Source organism: Homo sapiens, chromosome 20 (assembly GCF_000001405.40).
Source record: "Homo sapiens chromosome 20, GRCh38.p14 Primary Assembly".
NCBI classification, from domain to species: domain Eukaryota; kingdom Metazoa; phylum Chordata; class Mammalia; order Primates; family Hominidae; genus Homo; species Homo sapiens.
In genome coordinates this window covers 156,307-175,006 of record NC_000020.11, presented here as the reverse complement: position 1 = coordinate 175,006, position 18,700 = coordinate 156,307, and the positions used below count along the sequence as shown (strand labels likewise).

General features: G+C 39.0%; 1 protein-coding gene across 1 annotated transcript; it reads right to left on the bottom strand.

The window, feature by feature from the left end:
- Window positions 1-15,843: 15,843 nt before the first annotated feature.
- On the bottom strand, window positions 15,844-17,553 carry DEFB127 (defensin beta 127). Its single transcript, NM_139074.4, has 2 exons — window positions 17,414-17,553; window positions 15,844-16,233 (listed from the first exon to the last, which is right to left on the bottom strand). The coding sequence occupies exons 1-2, from the start codon at window positions 17,460-17,462 to the stop codon at window positions 15,983-15,985; spliced, it is 300 nt and encodes a 99-aa protein (NP_620713.1). The 5' UTR covers window positions 17,463-17,553; the 3' UTR covers window positions 15,844-15,982.
- Window positions 17,554-18,700: the final 1,147 nt, after the last annotated feature.

The following is an 18,700-nucleotide window of genomic DNA, read 5'->3' as shown; positions in this document are numbered from 1 at the left end:
AAATATCTTGGCCTAATAAGAGAATTCGGCAGATGGGCATAACTAAAAAAGAGTGCATAAAAGAATGTTGTCTAAGTTGGCACCAGAGTTGGGGAGTTTTTAAGAGGTTTAGAAGCCTGGCCGTCAATACCTACAACAGTTATGGAGGCAAGGGAAACAAGCCCTTGAAAAGAAGGTAATGTGGAGTGGGTAGCTTCCGTATTGATTAAGAAGGGGACGGACTTTGGGGGAGGAGGTTCTGGAGGAACTCCTGGCAGCTGCGGTTCAGGCGTTTGGAGTTCTTGTGTGCTGGAGATGTGGCTGGGGATTGTCTCACAGTGGAGGCAAGGAATTGCAACTCAGAAATACATTGCTACTTGGCTGCCTCTACTCTATTATTGTACACCTTGAAGGCGAGGTTAATTAAGTCCTGTTGTGGGGTTTGAGGGCTGGAATTTACTTTTTGGAGTTTTATTTAATGTCGGGGCAGATTGGGCAATAAAATGTATATTGAGGATAAGACGGCCTTTTGACCTTTTAGGGTCTAGGGCTGTAAAGCATCTCAGGGTTGCTGCCGAATGAGCCATGAACTGGGCTGGGTTTTTCATATTTGATGAAAAAGAACCTAAACGCTAACTGATTTTGGGAGAGTTCGGATAGAGAAAAAGGAGCATTAACCATGACTATGCCTTTAGCTCCAACCACCTTTTTAAGAGGAAATTGCTGGGCAAGTGGGGTAGGGCTAGCAGGTGTGAGGAGGGGAGGTGATAAAAGGATTATAGGGTGGAGGAGCAGAGGCTGAGGAAGAATTGGGACCTGGCTCGGCCTGGCGAGGAGCAGCCTGGGGAGGAGGTAAGAGGTCAGAGGGGTCTGCAGAAAACGAAGATTAGAAAGACTCAGCAATGCTTGGGATTGGGACTGAGAGGACAGGTGGGAGGGAAAGAAGGAGGATGTGGGACGAGACACATTGGGAACAGAGACTAGGGAGGGAACAATGTGTAAAAGAATGCCTGGATGTCAAACACCTCCGACCGTTTGCCTATTTTATGAAAAGAATTATCTAGATCTTGTAGGATGGAAAAACCAAAAGTGCTGTTTTCTGGCTATTTGGAACCACTGTCGAGTTTGTACTGAGGTCAAGCGGCATTGTAGAAGAAAATAAGGCATTTAGGTTTAGGTCAGGTGTGAGTTGAAGAGGTTTTAAGTTCTTGAAAACACAGGCTAAGGGAGAAGAAGGAGGAATGGAGGGTGGAAGGCTGCCCATAGTGAAGGAGGCAAGCCCAGAGAAAAGAGAGAGTAGAGACATGGAGAGAAGGGGTGGGGGGTGTTTGCTCCCTAGAAAAGCGGTACTTGCTGCTAAGGGTGAAGGACCAAGGCAGGCGTCCCCATGTGGTCAGACACCTCTGAAATGTGGGTGAATATTCAGAGAGGCATTCCCGCAATGATTAAACACCAAGGGAAGTCTGCCTTGCTGAGTCCGTGACCCACGCCGGAGTTTTGGGTTCACGGATAAAATGCGTCTCCTGTCCCTAGGAGAAAAGGAAAGGAACTGAAATTAAGAGAAGGGAGAGATTGAAGTGTGGCGCCAAGATTGAAAGGAGAAAGAGGTTGAGGGATAGTGAGATTGAAGAAGAGAGTACAAAAAGGCCGCTTACCTGATTTAAAATTGGTGTCATGTTCCTTGGGCTGGTCAGTCTGAGGACCTGAGGTCGTAGGTGGATCTTTCTCAGGGAGCAAAGAGCAGGAGGACAGGGGATTGATCTCTCAAGGGAGGTCCCCTGATCCGAGTCACGGCACCAAAATTTCACTCGCGTCCGTGTGAAGAGACCACCAAACAGGCTTTGTGTGAGCAACAAGGCTGTTTATTTCACCTGGGTGCAGGCAGGCTGAGTCCGAAAACAGAGTCAGTGAAGGGAGATAGAGGTGGGGCCGTTTTATAAGATTTGGGTAGGTAAAGGAAAATTACAGTCAAAGGGGAGTTGTTCTCTGGCAGGCAGGAGTGGGGGTCACAAGGTGCTCAGTGGGGGAGCTTTTTGAGCCAAGATGAGCCAGGAAAAGGGATTTCACAAGGTAATGTCATCAGTTAAGGCAAGGACCAGCCATTTTCACTTCTTTTGTGGTGGAATGTCATCAGTTAAGGCAAGAACAGGCCATTTTCACTTCTTTTGTGATTCTTCAGTTACTTCAGGCCATGTAGGCGTATAGGTGCAGGTCACAAGGGATGTGATGGCTTAGCTTCGGCTCAGAGGCCTGACATTTAGCTTCCACTTACAAGGGAGAACAGGTGGTATATACCACAATTTGTTTATCCATTCATCTGTTGAACACTTAGGTTGTATCCAATATGAAATATTATTCAGTCTTAAAACAAAGAAATCCTGTCGTTTGTGCAATGTGCATGAACCTGGAGGACATTATACTAAGTAAAATAAGCCAGGCACAGGAAGAAAAATACTGCATGATATCACTTACATGTAGAATCTTGAAAAGTCAAATTCATAGAAGGAGAGAGAATAGTGATTATCAGAAGCAATGGTGGCAGAATCAAAAGATGTTGGTCAAAGAGTACGTTCCAGTATTGTAGGATGATTAAGTTTTTGAGATCTAATGCACAGCATGGGGACCTCAGTTGATAATACTGTGGCCGGAAGCAGTGGTTCACGCCTGTAATCCCAGGACTTTGGGAGGCTGAGGCAAGCAGATCACTTGAGGTCAGGAGTTCGAGACCAGCCTGTCCAACATGGTGAAACCCCGTCTCTACTAAAAATACAAAAATCAGCCAGGCATGGTGGCACATGCCTGTAATCCCAGCACTTTGGGAGGCCGAGGCAGGTGGATCACTTCAGGTCAGGAGTTCAAGACCAGCCTGGCCGACATGGCAAAACCCCGTCTCTATGAAAAATAAAAAAATTAGCTGGGTGTGGTGGAGGGTGCCTGTAGTCCCAGCTACTTGGGAGGTTGAGGCAGGAGAATTGCTTGAACCTGGGAGGCAGAGATTTCAGTGAGCTGAGATGCTGCCACTGCACTCCAGCCTGGGCCACAGAGCGAGACTCTATCTCAAAATAAATAAATAAATAAAGGCTGGGCGTGGTGGCTCACGCCTGTAATCCCAGCACTTTGGGAGGCCGAGGTGGGCGGATCACGAGGTCAGGAGATCGAGACCATCCTGGCTAACACAGTGAAACCCCGTCTCTACTAAAAATACAAAAAAACTAGCCAGGCGTGGTGGTGGGCACCTGTAGTCCCAGCTGCTCAGGAGGCTGAGGCAGGAGAATGGCGTGAACCTGGGAGCCAGAGCTTGCAGTGAGCCGAGATGGCGCCACCGCACTCCAGCCTGGGAGACACAGAGAGACTCTGTCTCAAAAAAATAAACAAATAAAAGTAAAAAATAAAAAAGAGATAATACTGTATTATATAGTTGAAATTTACTATCAGAGTAGATCTTAAGCATTCTTGTCACACACACAATGGTAACTACGTGAAGAGACTGATATGTTAATTAGCCTGACTATAGTATTCATTTCAAGATGCATATGTACATCAAAACATGACATTGTATAGCTTAAATATGCATATGTACATCAAAACATGACATTGTATAGCTTAAATATGCATATGTACAACAAAACATGACATTGTATAGCTTAAATATGCATATGTATATCAAAACATCACATTGTATAGCTTAAAAATATATAATTTTAAATAGGCGTTAAAAGAGAGAATATGGTTATCTGGCTGACAAAAGAATGTGAACACCAAACACCCATGACATGCAATTTACCTATATAACAAACTTGCACATGTATTCCTAAAACTAAAACTAAAATAAAAGCTAAAAAATAATAAATACATCAGGAAAATAAATTTTTCCCTTAGCAAAACAAGCAAACAAACAAAAAACCAAAAAAAAATTAGTACACAAATTACAGTCTAACTCTAAAGGAAACTGCCCCTGGTCTAAGTAGTTAGATTTGATGAATAAAAGATTGGCTGAATATTAGTTTGGCAGCAGAAAAATTAATTTTGCTGTCATTCCATGAGCAAAAATATAGTGGTATGCATCAGAGATATCATCGTGCAAGATTACTTTGTTCCTATACTATGAAACATGACACACTAGTATGTGATAAAGTAGTGTAGGATAGAAGTTAAGCAATTACTAATTTCAGCTAATGCTTATCTATTACTAGGTTAAGTGCAACTTTTAATAATGATGTGAGAATTGTGAAGGATGTTAAAATACAAGAGAAAGAAAGCAAATGAAATCTGAACAATAGGAAGTCTTGTGCAATATACAAATTCAAATAATAAAGTCATAAAAAGAGAGAATATGGCACAAATGAAATTGTGCTATTTCCAAGCCTATGCCTCAAAAGGCCTGTGTGCCTTTGCCTTCTCCATTGGAACCCTGCCTCAGTCAGGTGAACAAGACCAGTCTAGTCTGCAGGAAGGACAAGAGAGACATTTTGGAGAAGAACCCAGTTGTCCCAGCAGAGGCTAGCTTATATCAGTCTATAGCCATCTGACCCCCAAATATATGAAAACCAGCTGAGATCAGCGTAGCCTCCACTATTTTATTTCTTTTTGTGAAGTGCATGGAAGTTGTAAAGCTCAATTGAACTGCTGAGTGTTTGAAAAGGACAGGATGGGACAAGAGCTTCAGTATAGGATAAAGACTATATTCTTTTTAAAGTATATTTCCACAGCATGAGAATACTGACTATCATAAATGCATTTCACAATAGATATGTCATTTAAAAAGAAATATGGTGGTCTTTGGAGCAGAGATCTTGTGAAAGCCTTAGTGATTTAGGATAAATACAGAGAAAATATCAGCTGTTCCTAAAAGTTGACATTTAAAATAATTTTGAGATATGTTTAGACTTACCTACATGCAGAGAAATCCCATATACCTTTTCCCTCCAATGGTTACATCTTGTTTAACTATAATCAGGAAATTGACATTGATATACTCCATTGGTCTTAATCAGATGTCATCAGTTTTACATGTATGTAGTCATTTGTTTGTGTGTGTGCATGTAGGTATGTATTTAGTTTTACACAATTTTATGACATGCTTTGATTTTTGTGACCACCATTACAGTCAAGACACAAAACAGTTTATCACATAGACTCCTTGTGCTACCCTTTTCCAGTGAGAGCCTTCTCCCTCCTTCCCTAACCCTGGGTAAACAGGAATCTGTTCTCTAGCTCTATAATTTTGTCATTTCAAGAATGCCATATAAATGGAATCATAGATATGTAATCTTTTTAAATTGGCATTTTTACTCTTAGTGTTCCTTGAAGATCCCTCCAACTTGTATGAATACTTTGTTTCTTTTTATTGCTAAGTAATATTCCATGCTATGGATGTACTATAAATGCGATTTTTTAAAAGCCACACAGTGAAGGATATTCAGATTGTATTCAATTTCTGGCAATTATGAATAAAGCTGTTGGGAATGTCTGTGTATAGGTTTTCTTTCTTTTTTAAAATCATGGTAAGAACCCTTAACAGACATGGTATTTTCCCCGGCCGGGCACTACCACTGTTTGGGTCCTGAGGTTAGATAGGTTTTGTTCAGGGTAGTTGGGACCAGCTGCTATGCTTTGTTGAAATGCATGGTTGAGGCTTGCCCCCTTGCCTAGGCAGAGACTTGGGGTGGGCTTTGAGGCTGAGGTGAGCCACCATTTATACTTCTGGGTGTGGCTAGTCCAGCCTCTGGGCTTTGCTGAAAGGTGCTGTGGTGGGCATCTCCCTCCTTGAGTGAGCTTTGAGTCTGAGCCACTGTTTAAATGCCCTGGGGCACAAGTCTCAGTTGTTTCTTTTGTTTGAAATGCTTTGTTGCAGGTATCTCCATTTCTGCGTGGGGCCTTGGGGAGGGATTTGAGGCTGGCTGTGGAGGCTGGCCATCTAGGGACTCAAGCCAGATGGAAATTTCCACTGTGCTTCTGGGAGTGACCAGCTTGGCTTTGCAGGTGGCTTATGCTGTTGGCTGGTACCTCTGCTGGCAGTGACACAGAGCTACCAACAGTATCTTCATACTGGTCACTGTGAGCAATGCCCCCTTTTCTTTTTTTCTATCTGAACCCAGGTGATCTAACCACACCGTTATCCCCTGCTTTCCCTGTGAACTGAGACTGAAATGGGCTTTCTGAGAATATTCCAGGAATGGCTAAGGAAGCTGAATGTTCATCTTTAGTTTTCTTTTCCCACTGGAGAAACTGTAGGCCTAGGGCAATCCTGTCTGCATAGTGGTGTGCCAACTTGGGCGAGGGAGTGGAGGAGGGGTGGCCTGGTCAAAGTGAGACCTTTTCTCTTCCCCCTTCTAATGTGGTTTTTATTCAGTTCTGTGGTCAACATGGGTGTCTTTGGCTTATTTCCAAGTTTTGGGATTTTTACCAAAGTGCTCTTGTCATGGATATCTGCCAGTTGAATTTTCTGTTGAGAGGAGGGATGCTTGGAACCTCCTATTCTGCCATCTTGCTAATGTCAGTCTAAAAATCTCCAGTTGTAGGTGAAGATTTCTCTATTTCTCTTTTTTAGTTCTACAAGCTTTTATTTTGAAGTTCTATTGTTAGTTGCATGCACATTTAGTATTGTTATATTTTCATGGTGAATTGACTTCTTTCTGTGCGTCTTGATCCCTGGTAGTATTTCTTGTTTTGAAATCTATTTTGTTCAATATTAATATAGCCACTCCAGCTTTTTAAGATATAAAGTCTTATAGCTTTTCTTTGTCTTTATATTAAATATATCTGATAAGGGATTAATATATAAAATATATAAAGAACTCATACAGCTCAGTAGCAGTAAAAAAAAACCAAACCCAATTAAAAAAATGGACAAAGACTTGAAAAGACATTTCTCCAAAGAAGACATAACAATGGCCAAGAAGTATGTGAAAAGGGGCTCAAAATCACTAATCATTAGGGAAATGTAAATCAAAACCACAATGAGACATCACCTCATGCCTGTTAGTATAACTATTACCAAAAAGACAAGATATAACAATTGTTAATGAGGGTGTGGAGAAAAGGGAACCTTTGTACATTCTTGGTGGGAATGTAGACAGATGTAGCCATTGTGGAGTCAGTATGAAGGCTTCTAAAGGAATTAGAAATAGAACTACCAGGCTGAGTGAGGTGGTTCATGCTTGTAATCCCGGTAATTTGGGAAGTCAAAGCAGGAGGATTGCTTGAGGTCAGGACTTTGAGCCCAGCCTGGGCTACACAGCAAGACCCTGTACCTAAAAAACATTGACTAAGCATGGTGTGTGTCTGTAGTCCCAGCTACTCAGGAGACTGAGGCAGGATTCCTTGAGCCTAGGAGTTTGAGATTTACAGTGAGCTATGATTGCACCACTGCATTCCAGCCTGGGCTACAGAGTAACACTGTGACACCCTGTCTTTAAAAAAAAAAATGAAATGAAATCACCACTTAACTTCATAGAGGTATCTGTACTTTCATATTTATTGCAGCATTATTCACAATAGTCAAAATTTTGAAACAAGTGAACTGTTGATAGATGAATGGATAAACTGTGACACACACACACAATGGAATATTATTTACTCTTCAAAAAGGAGATCCTGCCATTTGCCAAGGCATGAATGAACATGAAGAACATTATGCTAAATGAAATAAACTGACACAGAAAGAAAAATACTGCACTATTTCACTTATACATGGAATCTTAAAAGAAAAAAAAGGAAAGCTGAATACAAGGAGATAGAGAATAATGTGGTCGTTACCAGGGGTGTGGTTGGAGGGGAAGGAAATGGAGAGATGTAGGTCAAAGGATAAAAAATTGCAGATACGTAAGATTAAAAAAGTCTAGAGGTCTAATGTACAACGTGAGGTCTATGATAATATTATATTTTACTTGGAATTTTTGTTAAAAAAGTAGTGTGCTCTTGCGACACACACACAAAGGGAAACTATGTGAGATGATGAACGTGTTGATTTGCCTGACTATATTAACCATTTCACAACATGTATCAAAACATCATGTTGTACACCATAAATATATGCAATAAAGAATAAAGTGAGGGTTTTTTTTTGTGGTCAGTATAGAGTCAGGTCTTTTAAAATCCAATCTTACAATCTTTTTCTTTTTATTGGTGTATTTAGATCAGTGGTCCCCAGCCTTTTTGGCACCAGGGACCGGTTTAATGCAGTCAATTTTTCCATAAACTGGCAGGGATGGGAAGATGGTTTCAGGATGAAACTGTTCCACTTTGGATCATCAGGCATTAGATTCTCATAAGGAGCACGCAAAGATCCTTTGCATGTGCAGTTCACAATAAGGTTCAAACTCCTATGAGAATCTAATGCCACAGCTGATCTGACAGGAGGCAGAGCTCAGGTGGTAATGCTCACTCCCACTGCTGCTCACCTCCTGCTCTGTGGCCCAGTTCCTAACAGGCCACAAACCTATACCGGTCCATGGCCTGGGGGGTGGGGACCCCTGATTTAGATCATTTATATTAAATATAATTATTGATGTGTTATATTAAAATCTAATATCTTTACTAGCATTTTTAGATGCTTCATTACTTGGGCAGAGAACTTTCATGTGGGACAAAGCTTGTGGTGTTTGTCCCAGATCTTTTAAAGATGAAGGAAATTGTCTAGAAAGTCCCAGAAGTAATAAGTGCATTTTTAATTTAATGGTCTCTGAATGGGGCATTGGATATCACTAATATCAGAGTTTAGAATAAGAGTGAGTCCACCTGTCATAAACATATAAAAATTGACAAAGTGCTAATCATTAGGGATGGGATACATATTATTTATTCTAATAAAGAAGATAAGTAAGCCAAACACCTCAACATCTAATTATAGGGAAAAAAAACTAAAGAGAAGTTTAGATTCAGAGAGTGATTAGAGAAGACAAGGAATAATGGAATAGAAACATTCCTCAGAAGACTACTACCAATTGGGTATCAGTGGTTATATAAATTATGAATTTGAGAATTTAAGAATTACAGAATTTTGTTGTTAAATGGATACATGGGCCCTAATGGGGTTCTGACAAAGTTTAAACTGGTCTGTAATAAAATGAAAAAAATTAAAATGATAGAACTAAATTTTAAGAGACATGAATGCATTTAGTTAAAAGTCTGTTTTCTTCTAAAATGTCATACATACATATTTTTAGGTAGTGAAATTTCTTTCACTTTTGAAATGATGGTGAGAGTTAATAAATTGATGATAAATTATGGTAATAATTGGTAAACTTCTGTAAACCAAAAATATCTTTAAAAATTACTGATGCAGGAAGTTCAGGACTGGAAGAATCATAACAGAGGACAATATAAATGAAAAATAAATGTCAGTTTAAAGCCATAGAAAACCTATAACAAGATAGAAGATCATATTTGAAAACAAACTGTATGAAGAACAAGTGTGTACAAGTTTTTGCATATGATATTTTCTGTTTGCTTTCAAGTTTTGTTTACATTTTGGTTTACATATCACCAAAGTAATGTTACTGTATATGTAATTATAACTAGTTGACAAAATTGCATGATTAACATTTGTATCCATAGTCTTTATATAATCTATATGTTATTTATATGCTCATGGTTTAAGAGAAATGAGAAGGTTTATAATGTAACAATGAACATACTCTATATTGAAAATTTGTGGGATGGTGCTCAGGCTGTGTATAGAGAGAAACTTACAACTTTAAACTCTCATATTTGAAAAGAAGGAAGGCTTTTCTTTTATAAAGATAAACATGCACCTAACAAAGTTACAAAAAGAAAAGCATACCGAAAATAAAAAATAGAAATGACACTAAATTGTGCACTTAAAACAGGTGAATTTTATGGTATGTAAAAGTTTTTGAAAAACAAGAAAAAAAGAACATTAGTGAAGATATATTTGTGTGTATGTGTGTATGTGTGTGTGTGTGTGTGTGTGTGTGTGTGTGTGTGTGTGTTCTAATACAAATTTATTTCCAAAAGCAGGCTATGGGCTGGATTTGCCCTGACAGCAGTAGTTTGTTCACCCTGGTCTAAGTTATTCCTGATTTAAAAAATATATATAAAACAAAATAAAAAACAAACCTCAGCTCTCATAGAGTAACTTCCCAAAAGGTTATTTCTGGCAGTGCTAGATGTCTATTTTAGGTCAAAAGAATGACCCTGCTTTCATGGTCACTCGGGGCTTCAGGCTGACAGAGGCTCTATGTCAACAGTGCTTCCACAATCACCTTGGCAGAGAGATGAGAGACGGTTAAACTGCACACTGGCTCTTTTTTTTTTTCTTTTGAGAAAGAGTCTGGCTCTGTCACCTAGGCTAGAGTGCAGAGGCATGATCTCAGCTCATTGCAACCTCCGCCTTCTGGGCTCAAGTGATTCTCCTTCCTTAGCCTCCCAAATAGCTGGGATTACAGGCCCTGCCACCATGCCTGGCTAATTTTTGTGTTTTTAGTAGAGACAGGGCTTCACCACCATGGCCAGGCTGGTCTCAAACTCCTGACCTCAGGTGATCTGCCCGCCTCAGCATCCCAAAGTGCTGAGATTACAGGTGTGAGCCACTGCACATGGACACACTGGCTCTTAAGTTTCCACTTGGAAGTGAACCTGTCACTTTCAATCACTTTCAATTGGGCAATGCAAGTCACAGTCTAAGAAATGGAAACTAAACTAAAATTAATGAAGAAAATTTGTTTTCTGTAAAGATAAATCAAATTAATAAGTGAATGTGAGACTTATCAAGAAAAAAGAGAAAATAAAACAAATAATAGATGTCAAAAATGAAAAAGAAGGTGTCATTACATATCTTACAGGCATTAATAAGATAAAAAGAAGATATTACAAGAGTTTTAGGATAGCAAGTATAAAAATCTTAGAACATGGGAAAAGTATATATGCCAAATACAACAGTTGACTAGAAGGCATAGAAAACTGAATTGCCTTTTAACCTGCAATAAACTTAATCTATAACAATACTTCCTGTAAAGAGTTCCGTTCCAGTTGAATTTACCATTAGATTCTACCAAGCATTCAATGAAGAAATGAGAAGCTCTTTCGTAAATAAGAAGAAAAGGAATGTGCCAAATTGATTTTGTGGTCAGTTTTCTAAAATTTAAATACATTTTCAGTTTTAGAATAGTTTTAGATTTATAGAAATGTTGCAAAGATAATACAGAGAGCTCCCAAATATTCACCCAGTTTCTGCTATTGTTAACATCTTATATTACCACAATGCAGCCATCACAGCTAAATACATTGCTACTAAATGACTCTACACTTATTATTATTACTATTATCACCACTAGTTTTTCCTTAATGTTCTTTTCCTGTTCCAAGAGTCCATCCAGGATACCACATTACCTTTAGTTGTCCTGTCTCTTTAGGCTTCTCTGGTCTTTGACTGTGGCTCAGAATTTCTTCCTTTTTGATAAATTTGACAGTTTTTAGAAATACTGGTCAAATATTGTTTAGAATGCCACTGAATTTGAGTTTTTCTGATGTTTTTCATTGTTTGTCTTGGGTCGCAGGGTTTTGGGAGGAAGAAAACAGAAGTGAAGTGCCATTCTCATCAGATCATATCACAGGTTCATGTTATCAATATGATTTCTCCATAAAATCTGAAACATGACCTTATCAGGTTTATCCAGGTGAAATTATTTTTTAACTCCTTTCCACACACTTCTCTTTGGAAACAAGTAGCTAAATACAGCCCATGCTCAAGGGAGAGGGAGGTCAAGCTCCACCTTCTTCAGCAGGGAGTATCTGTATGAATTATTGGGAATTATTCTATATGGCACATCTGTTCTCACCAATTTTCCAATTTATTCAATTATTTATTCATATCATCATGGACTCATAGATATTTATTATATGTTGTATTATAATCCAATGCTATCTTATTTATTTTATTGCTCAAATTGTCGCAGCTTTGGTCATTTGAAGCTCTTTTAGACCGACTCCTGTGTTCTTTTAATATGACCCTATCCTTTTTTTTTTTTTTAAATACTTTAAGTTTTAGGGTACATGTGCACATTGTGCAGGTGAGTTACATATGTATACATGTGCCATGTTGGTGTGCTGCACCCACTAACTCGTCATCTAGCCTTAGGTATATCTCCCAGTGCTATCCCTCCCCCCTCCCCCCACCCCACAACAGTCCCCAGAGTGTGATATTCCCCTTCCTGTGTCCATGTGATCTCGTTCAATTCCCACCTATGAGTGAGGATATGCGGTGTTTGGTTTTTTGTTCTTGCGATAGTTTACTGAGAATGATGATTTCCTATTTCATCCATGTCCCTACAAAGGACATGAACTCATCATTTTTTATGGCTGCATAGTATTCCATGGTGTATATGTGCCACATTTTCTTAATCCAGTCTATTATTGTTGGACATTTGGGTTAGTTCCAAGTCTTTGCTATTGTGAATAATGCCGCAATAAACATACGTGTGCATGTGTCTTTATAGCAGCATGATTTATAGTCATTTGGGTATATACCCAGTAATGGGATGGCTGGGTCAAATGGTATTTCTAGTTCTAGATCCCTGAGGAATCGCCACACTGACTTCCACAATGGTTGAACTAGTTTACAGTCCCACCAACAGTGTAAAAGTGTTCCTATTTCTCCACATCCTCTCCAGCACCTGTTGTTTCCTGACTTTTTAATGATTGCCATTCTAACTGGTGTGAGATGATATCTCATTGTGGTTTTGATTTGCATTTCTCTGATGGCCAGTGATGATGAGCATTTTTTCATGTGTTTTTTGGTTGCATAAATGTCTTCTTTTGAGAAGTGTCTGTTCATGTCCTTCACCCACTTTTTGATGGGGTTGTTTGTTTTTTTCTTGTAAATTTGTTTGAGTTCATTGTAGATTCTGGATATTAACCCTTTGTCAGATGAGTAGGTTGCGAAAATTTTCTCGCATTTTGTAGGTTGCCTGTTCACTCTGATGGTAGTTTCTTTTGCTGTGCAGAAGCTCTTTAGTTTAATTAGATCCCATTTGTCAATTTTGTCTTTTGTTGCCATTGCTTTTGGTGTTTTAGACATGAAGTCCTTGCCCATGCCTATGTCCTGAATGGTAATGCCTAGGTTTTCTTCTAGGGTTTTTATGGTTTTAGGTCTAACGTTTAAGTCTTTAATCCATCTTGAATTGATTTTTGTATAAGGTGTAAGGAAGGGATCCAGTTTCAGCTTTCTACATATGGCTACCAGTTTTCCCAGCACCATTTATTAAATAGGGAATCCTTTCCCCATTGCTTGTTTTTCTCAGGTTTGTCAAAGATCAGATAGTTGTAGATATGCGGCGTTATTTCTGAGGGCTCTGTTCTGTTCCATTGATCTACATCTCTGTTTTGGTACTAGTACCATGCTGTTTTGGTTACTGTAGCCTTGTAGTAGAGTTTGAAGTCAGGTAGTGTGATGCCTCCAGCTTTGTTCTTTTGGCTTAAGATTGACTTGGCGATGCGGGCTCTTTTTTGGTTCCATATGAACTTTAAAGTAGTTTTTTTCCAATTCTGTGAAGAAAGGCATTGGTAGCTTGATGGGGATGGCATTGAATCTGTAAATTACCTTGGGCAGTATGGCGATTTTCACGATATTGATTCTTCCTACCCATGAGCATGGAATGTTCTTCCATTTGTTTGTATCCTCTTTTACTTCCTTGAGCAGTGGTTTGTAGTTCTCCTTGAAGAGGTCCTTCACATCCCTTGCAAGTTGGATTCCTAGGTATTTTATTCTCTTTGAAGCAATTGTGAATGGTAGTTCACTCATGATTTGGCTCTCTGTTTGTCTGTTGTTGGTGTATAAGAATGCTTATGATTTTGGTAAATTGATTTTGTATCCTGAGACTTTGCTAAAGTTGCTTATCAGCTTAAGGAGATTTTGGGCTGAGACAATGGGGTTTTCTACATATACAATAAAGGGGATATCACCACCGATCCCACAGAAATACAAACTACCATCAGAGAATACTACAAACACCTCTACACAAATAAACTAGAAAATCTAGAAGAAATGGATAAATTCCTCGACACATACACTCTCCCAAGACTAAACTAGGAAGAAGTTGCATCTCTGAATAGACCAATAACAGGATCTGAAATTGTGGCAATAATCAATAGCTTACCAACCAAAAAGAGTCCAGGACTAGATGGATTCACAGCCGAATTCTACCAGAGGTACAAGGAGGAACTGGTACCATTCCTTCTGAAACTATTCCAATCAATAGAAAAAGAGGGAATCCTCCCTAACTCATTTTATGAGGCCAGCATCATTCTGATACCAAAGCCGGGCAGAGACACAACCGAAAAAGAGAATTTTAGACCAATATCCTTGATGAACATTGATGCAAAAATCCTCAATAAAATACTGGCAAACCGAATCCAGCAGCACATCAAAAAGCTTATCCACCATGATCAAGTGGGCTTCATCCCTGGGATGCAAGGCTGGTTCAATATACGCAAATCAATAAATGTAATGCAGCATATAAACAGAGCCAAAGACAAAAACCACATGATTATCTCAATAGATGCAGAAAAAGCCTTTGACAAAATTCAACAACCCTTCATGCTAAAAACTCTCAATAAATTAGGTATTGATGGGACGTATTTCAAAATAATAAGAGCTATCTATGACAAACCCACAGCCAGTATCATACTGAATGGGCAAAAACTGGAAGCATTCCCTTTGAAAACTGGCACAAGACAGGGATGCCCTCTCTCACCACTCCTATTCAACATAGTGTTGGAAGTTCTCGCCAGGGCAATCAGGCAGGAGAAGGAAATAAAGGGTATTCAATTAGGAAAAGAGGAAGTCAAATTGTCCGTGTTTGCAGACCCTATCCTTTGATTATTAAGCAATTGCTTACTTTCTGGCACCACAAGATATTTTAGGCTTGTTTTAGGTGCTCCCTATACCAGCCCTAGAACACCAGAAAGAGAGAGATTAAGAGAACACATGCCACACATTAGTGGTAAATGTTATAGTGGATGAACTAAATCTTTAAAATGCTTGTAATTGTTATGGTGAAATGATATAAGAAACAAAACTAGCAAATGACTTTGAAATGTAGTTGAAGAAGAAACTTTCCATGTTAATCATATTCAGAAGGTACATCTTTAAGAATTCAGCAGAGTATGTACATGGATTATTCTTCTTGCATATCAAGACAATGAAAGCACTACAATTTGGACCAATTCCTAGATCTTTTACATTTCCCCTAAACTCCACAGGGCCCCAATAACAAAAAAGATGAACACATCAACAACAACAACAACAACAAAGCAAAAACCTAAAAACTTTTGTGTTGGAGTTATTTACTTAGGTCTTCTCCACTTCATAGAGGAAGCGTTGAGCTCCACTGTTGAGCTCCACAACAGTGGAATCTTATTTATCTCCGTCTTCCCAGTTCACTGCTGGTACACAGGAGCTTAGGAAATCAGACTTCCCCCATAGTTCAACTTTGAGTGCTCTGTTCTTCATCCAAACAAAGTGCATGTATAGTGTCTTGAAATGTTCTGTCTTTTCCAATTTCCTCCCATTCTGTTCACTCAAATTGCCTTCCCTACCAAACCTCATCCATGGAAATCCTACTTATTTACTGCTTTACTATTTACTTATTTACTACAAGACACTGCTTTATTCCTAAACTTACTCATGAATTTCCCCTGAATATTTGCTTCACCTTTCCCTCTCCTAAATTACATGTCAGTGTTTCTGAGTTTCTTATTCCAGACTTCCACACTATAGGACTTTTTTTTTTTAGTGTACTTGTCATATCCCCTTTTCAAGGAGAGGTTCTGAGTTCTTATCAATTCATTACCTAGTATATAATGAGTGTTCAACCCCTGGTTAAAGAACAAAATGAGACAGAAAACTGGCAATGCACTTTATTAGAATATGCTCGAAGGTCATTTTAAGGATCAAGAAACCAAAAGGAAGAAGATGTATATCTCATCACCTTAGTTTATTAGACTAGGTTGAGAAGCAAGTGAAAACGAAATTGTATTTGATTTATGTAGACTGTGTCTTCAGGCTTGGGAAATTTTCTATTATTGTAACATAGTCTTGAAGAGTCAGTGCAAGTGTTGCTGGCTTTGGACGAGGTGGCTTTGTAATTTTTTTACATGCTTCCAGTTCCTTGATATTGAGGCAACAGTATCTCCCATTTTCACATAGTGCCTCAGGCACTTCATTTACTCTGCAGATTTTCCTGCAATGTCCTTGTACATAGTTATTCCAGCACTTCTTAAGTTGTTCGGTTACTATACACAGAAAGGAGCAATAGAACAATATCAGTGTTTGAGACTGAAGGCACGTTGGTTTTGGGGAAGACAGAGGAGGCTTGTAGGAATTAGGGGTATGGGGTATCCACAAGGCAGACCCTCATATATTCTGAAGAGGATTTTCCGACAAGGTCAACCTCAGTGTTTGTATTTAACTGGATCACTTATATTTAGGTCCTGTGAGGTTTTAGGCCTCCCTTAACATCTGATAGACTCTGCCAAGAACATAAGATCTTATCTGAGAAAATAAAGGAGCTGAACCCTTGATTCTAGGCTATGGAACTATGCTCTACATAGGAACCTCAGCAAATCTGCCTGCATCCTGAATGCTCCCAGAGCACTACCTTCTACTGCACCTCCTCTGATGCCCAGAGAACAATGTATTGTTACTATGTGTTTATGTCTGAATCAAACTGTTCTCCTGAGTTCAAACCCACTATCAGGGTCAAGAATGACTTTCATGTTATCCAGTAAGGTAGTAGTCTATTGGGTCTTAGGAATGTAGAGGGTCAGGAATAGGCCATTACTATTCTTATAATAAGGGACACATGTAAGAAATCTGGTTTTGAAAGAGGAAAGGAAACTCTAATTTTTGAGTTCTCAGTATGTGCCAAGCTTCACATAGGTTATATCATTTAATAAAACCCCTGTTAACCAGGTGTCATTATCTCCATAGATGAGGAAACTGAGGCTCCTAGAGTCTTCACTACTTAAAGTTGACAAACTAGTAGATATTGAAGGCATGTTTCTTAAACCTAACTCCAAAATTTGCTTCTTCCTCTATTCATGCACACACACACACACACACACACACACACACATATATATATTTGAGTAAAAGGAAATATAGCTGAGCATCAGAGTAAAAACCATATCCAAAGACATAAAGGTATCCCTAGATATTGGCATCATTCCTTTCTATAACAACACATCTTTCCCAGAAGAAATTATGACCTCTTTTTAGCTCAGTGAGTACTCCTCTTTAAGGATAGTAACATGGAATAAGGCTCCAGAAAGAGGAAATTTCTGATGATGTTGGATAAACTTTAGCCATCTTTGGGGGCTCTATTTCCCTTTAGTGTGGATTATGAAGTTCCCTTTGGCTCCTGAAAATGCTCCATCCCACTGTTGATTTGAGTGAGCTTCTGGTTTGGTTTACCTGTGGGTTTCTGGAACAGCAGAATTGCAATGATCATGAAGAGCCCCATGGCCAGGCTTTCCAGAAGAGGTGCAGCCAAAGCTTTTGGTCCAGTGAACTGCACACTATGCTACCTTCCTCAGAGACTTAGATTCTTATGCACTGAACCAGAACAGATGGGATGATATGAAGTGTGTCCTTAAGCTTCTGAACTGTGAGCTTTGCATCATGCAGGCAGACACAGGAAATTTCAGGCCACCCACTTTACCCCCACATGGAATAGAGATACAGCATGTTCCATCCCATCGCACCAAATGCCGCTGTGTAGGCTGTAGACTGCTGGGAAGAATCTGTGATTTTCCTGCTTTGACTCTCTGCGCAGCCGGACCAAGATCGAAATGTACTCACCTCCAAGAATGAATGTGGCAGTATAAACCAGGACATAAATCTGAAACTCTAACAATAAGAATTTCTAGTAGGTTTCTTGCACATTTCGAAAGAAGGTATGATGTAGTTGGGTCTGATCTGAGGTCACCTGATTTTTTATAAAAGCACCAAGAACATACACTGGGGAAAGGATACCCTCTTCAATAAATCATGCTGGAGAAACTGGATTTCCATGTGCAGAAGAATATATATTATGTATATATATATGTACACACATATATACATATATATGCACACAATGGAATACTATACATACATAACACACAATGGAATATATATATATATATATACACACACACACACAATGGAATACTATTCACCCATAAAAATAATGAAATTCTGTCCTTTGCAACAACATGGATAGCCTGGAGGACATTATGTTATGTGAAATGTCAGGCACAGAAAGATTACCACATGTTCCTATTTATATATGGGAGCTAAAAAAGTTGAGCACATGGAAGTAGAGAGTAGTGTTGCAGATATTAATATTAGAGGCTGGTAATGATTAGGGAGAGGGGAGGATGGAGAGAGATTGGCTAATGGATGCAAAATTATAGATAGGAGGAATGACTTCTGGTGTTGTAGCACTGTAAGGTGAATATGGTTAACTACAATTTATTGTATACTTTTAAAAGGCTAGAAGAGAGGATTTTGAATGTTCCCAATACAAATGATAAATGTTTGAGGTGACGGATATGCTAATTACCCTGGTTTGATCATTACACATTATATGCATGTATTGAAATATCACTTTGTATCCTATAAATAAGTACAATTATGTGTCAACTAAAAATAAAAGGAAAAATGGCTAAAATGGCCAATGTTATGTCATATATTTTACCACAATTAGAAGAAAAAGAT

Coding starts and splice junctions, on each gene's coding strand:
- DEFB127 (NM_139074.4), bottom strand. CDS start 17,462: ATGGGGCTCTTCATGATCATTGCAATTCTGCTGTTCCAGAAACCCACA. Junction 16,234..17,413: donor GCTGTTCCAGAAACCCACAG/GTAAACCAAACC, acceptor TTCTGTGTATAG/TAACCGAACAACTTAAGAAG.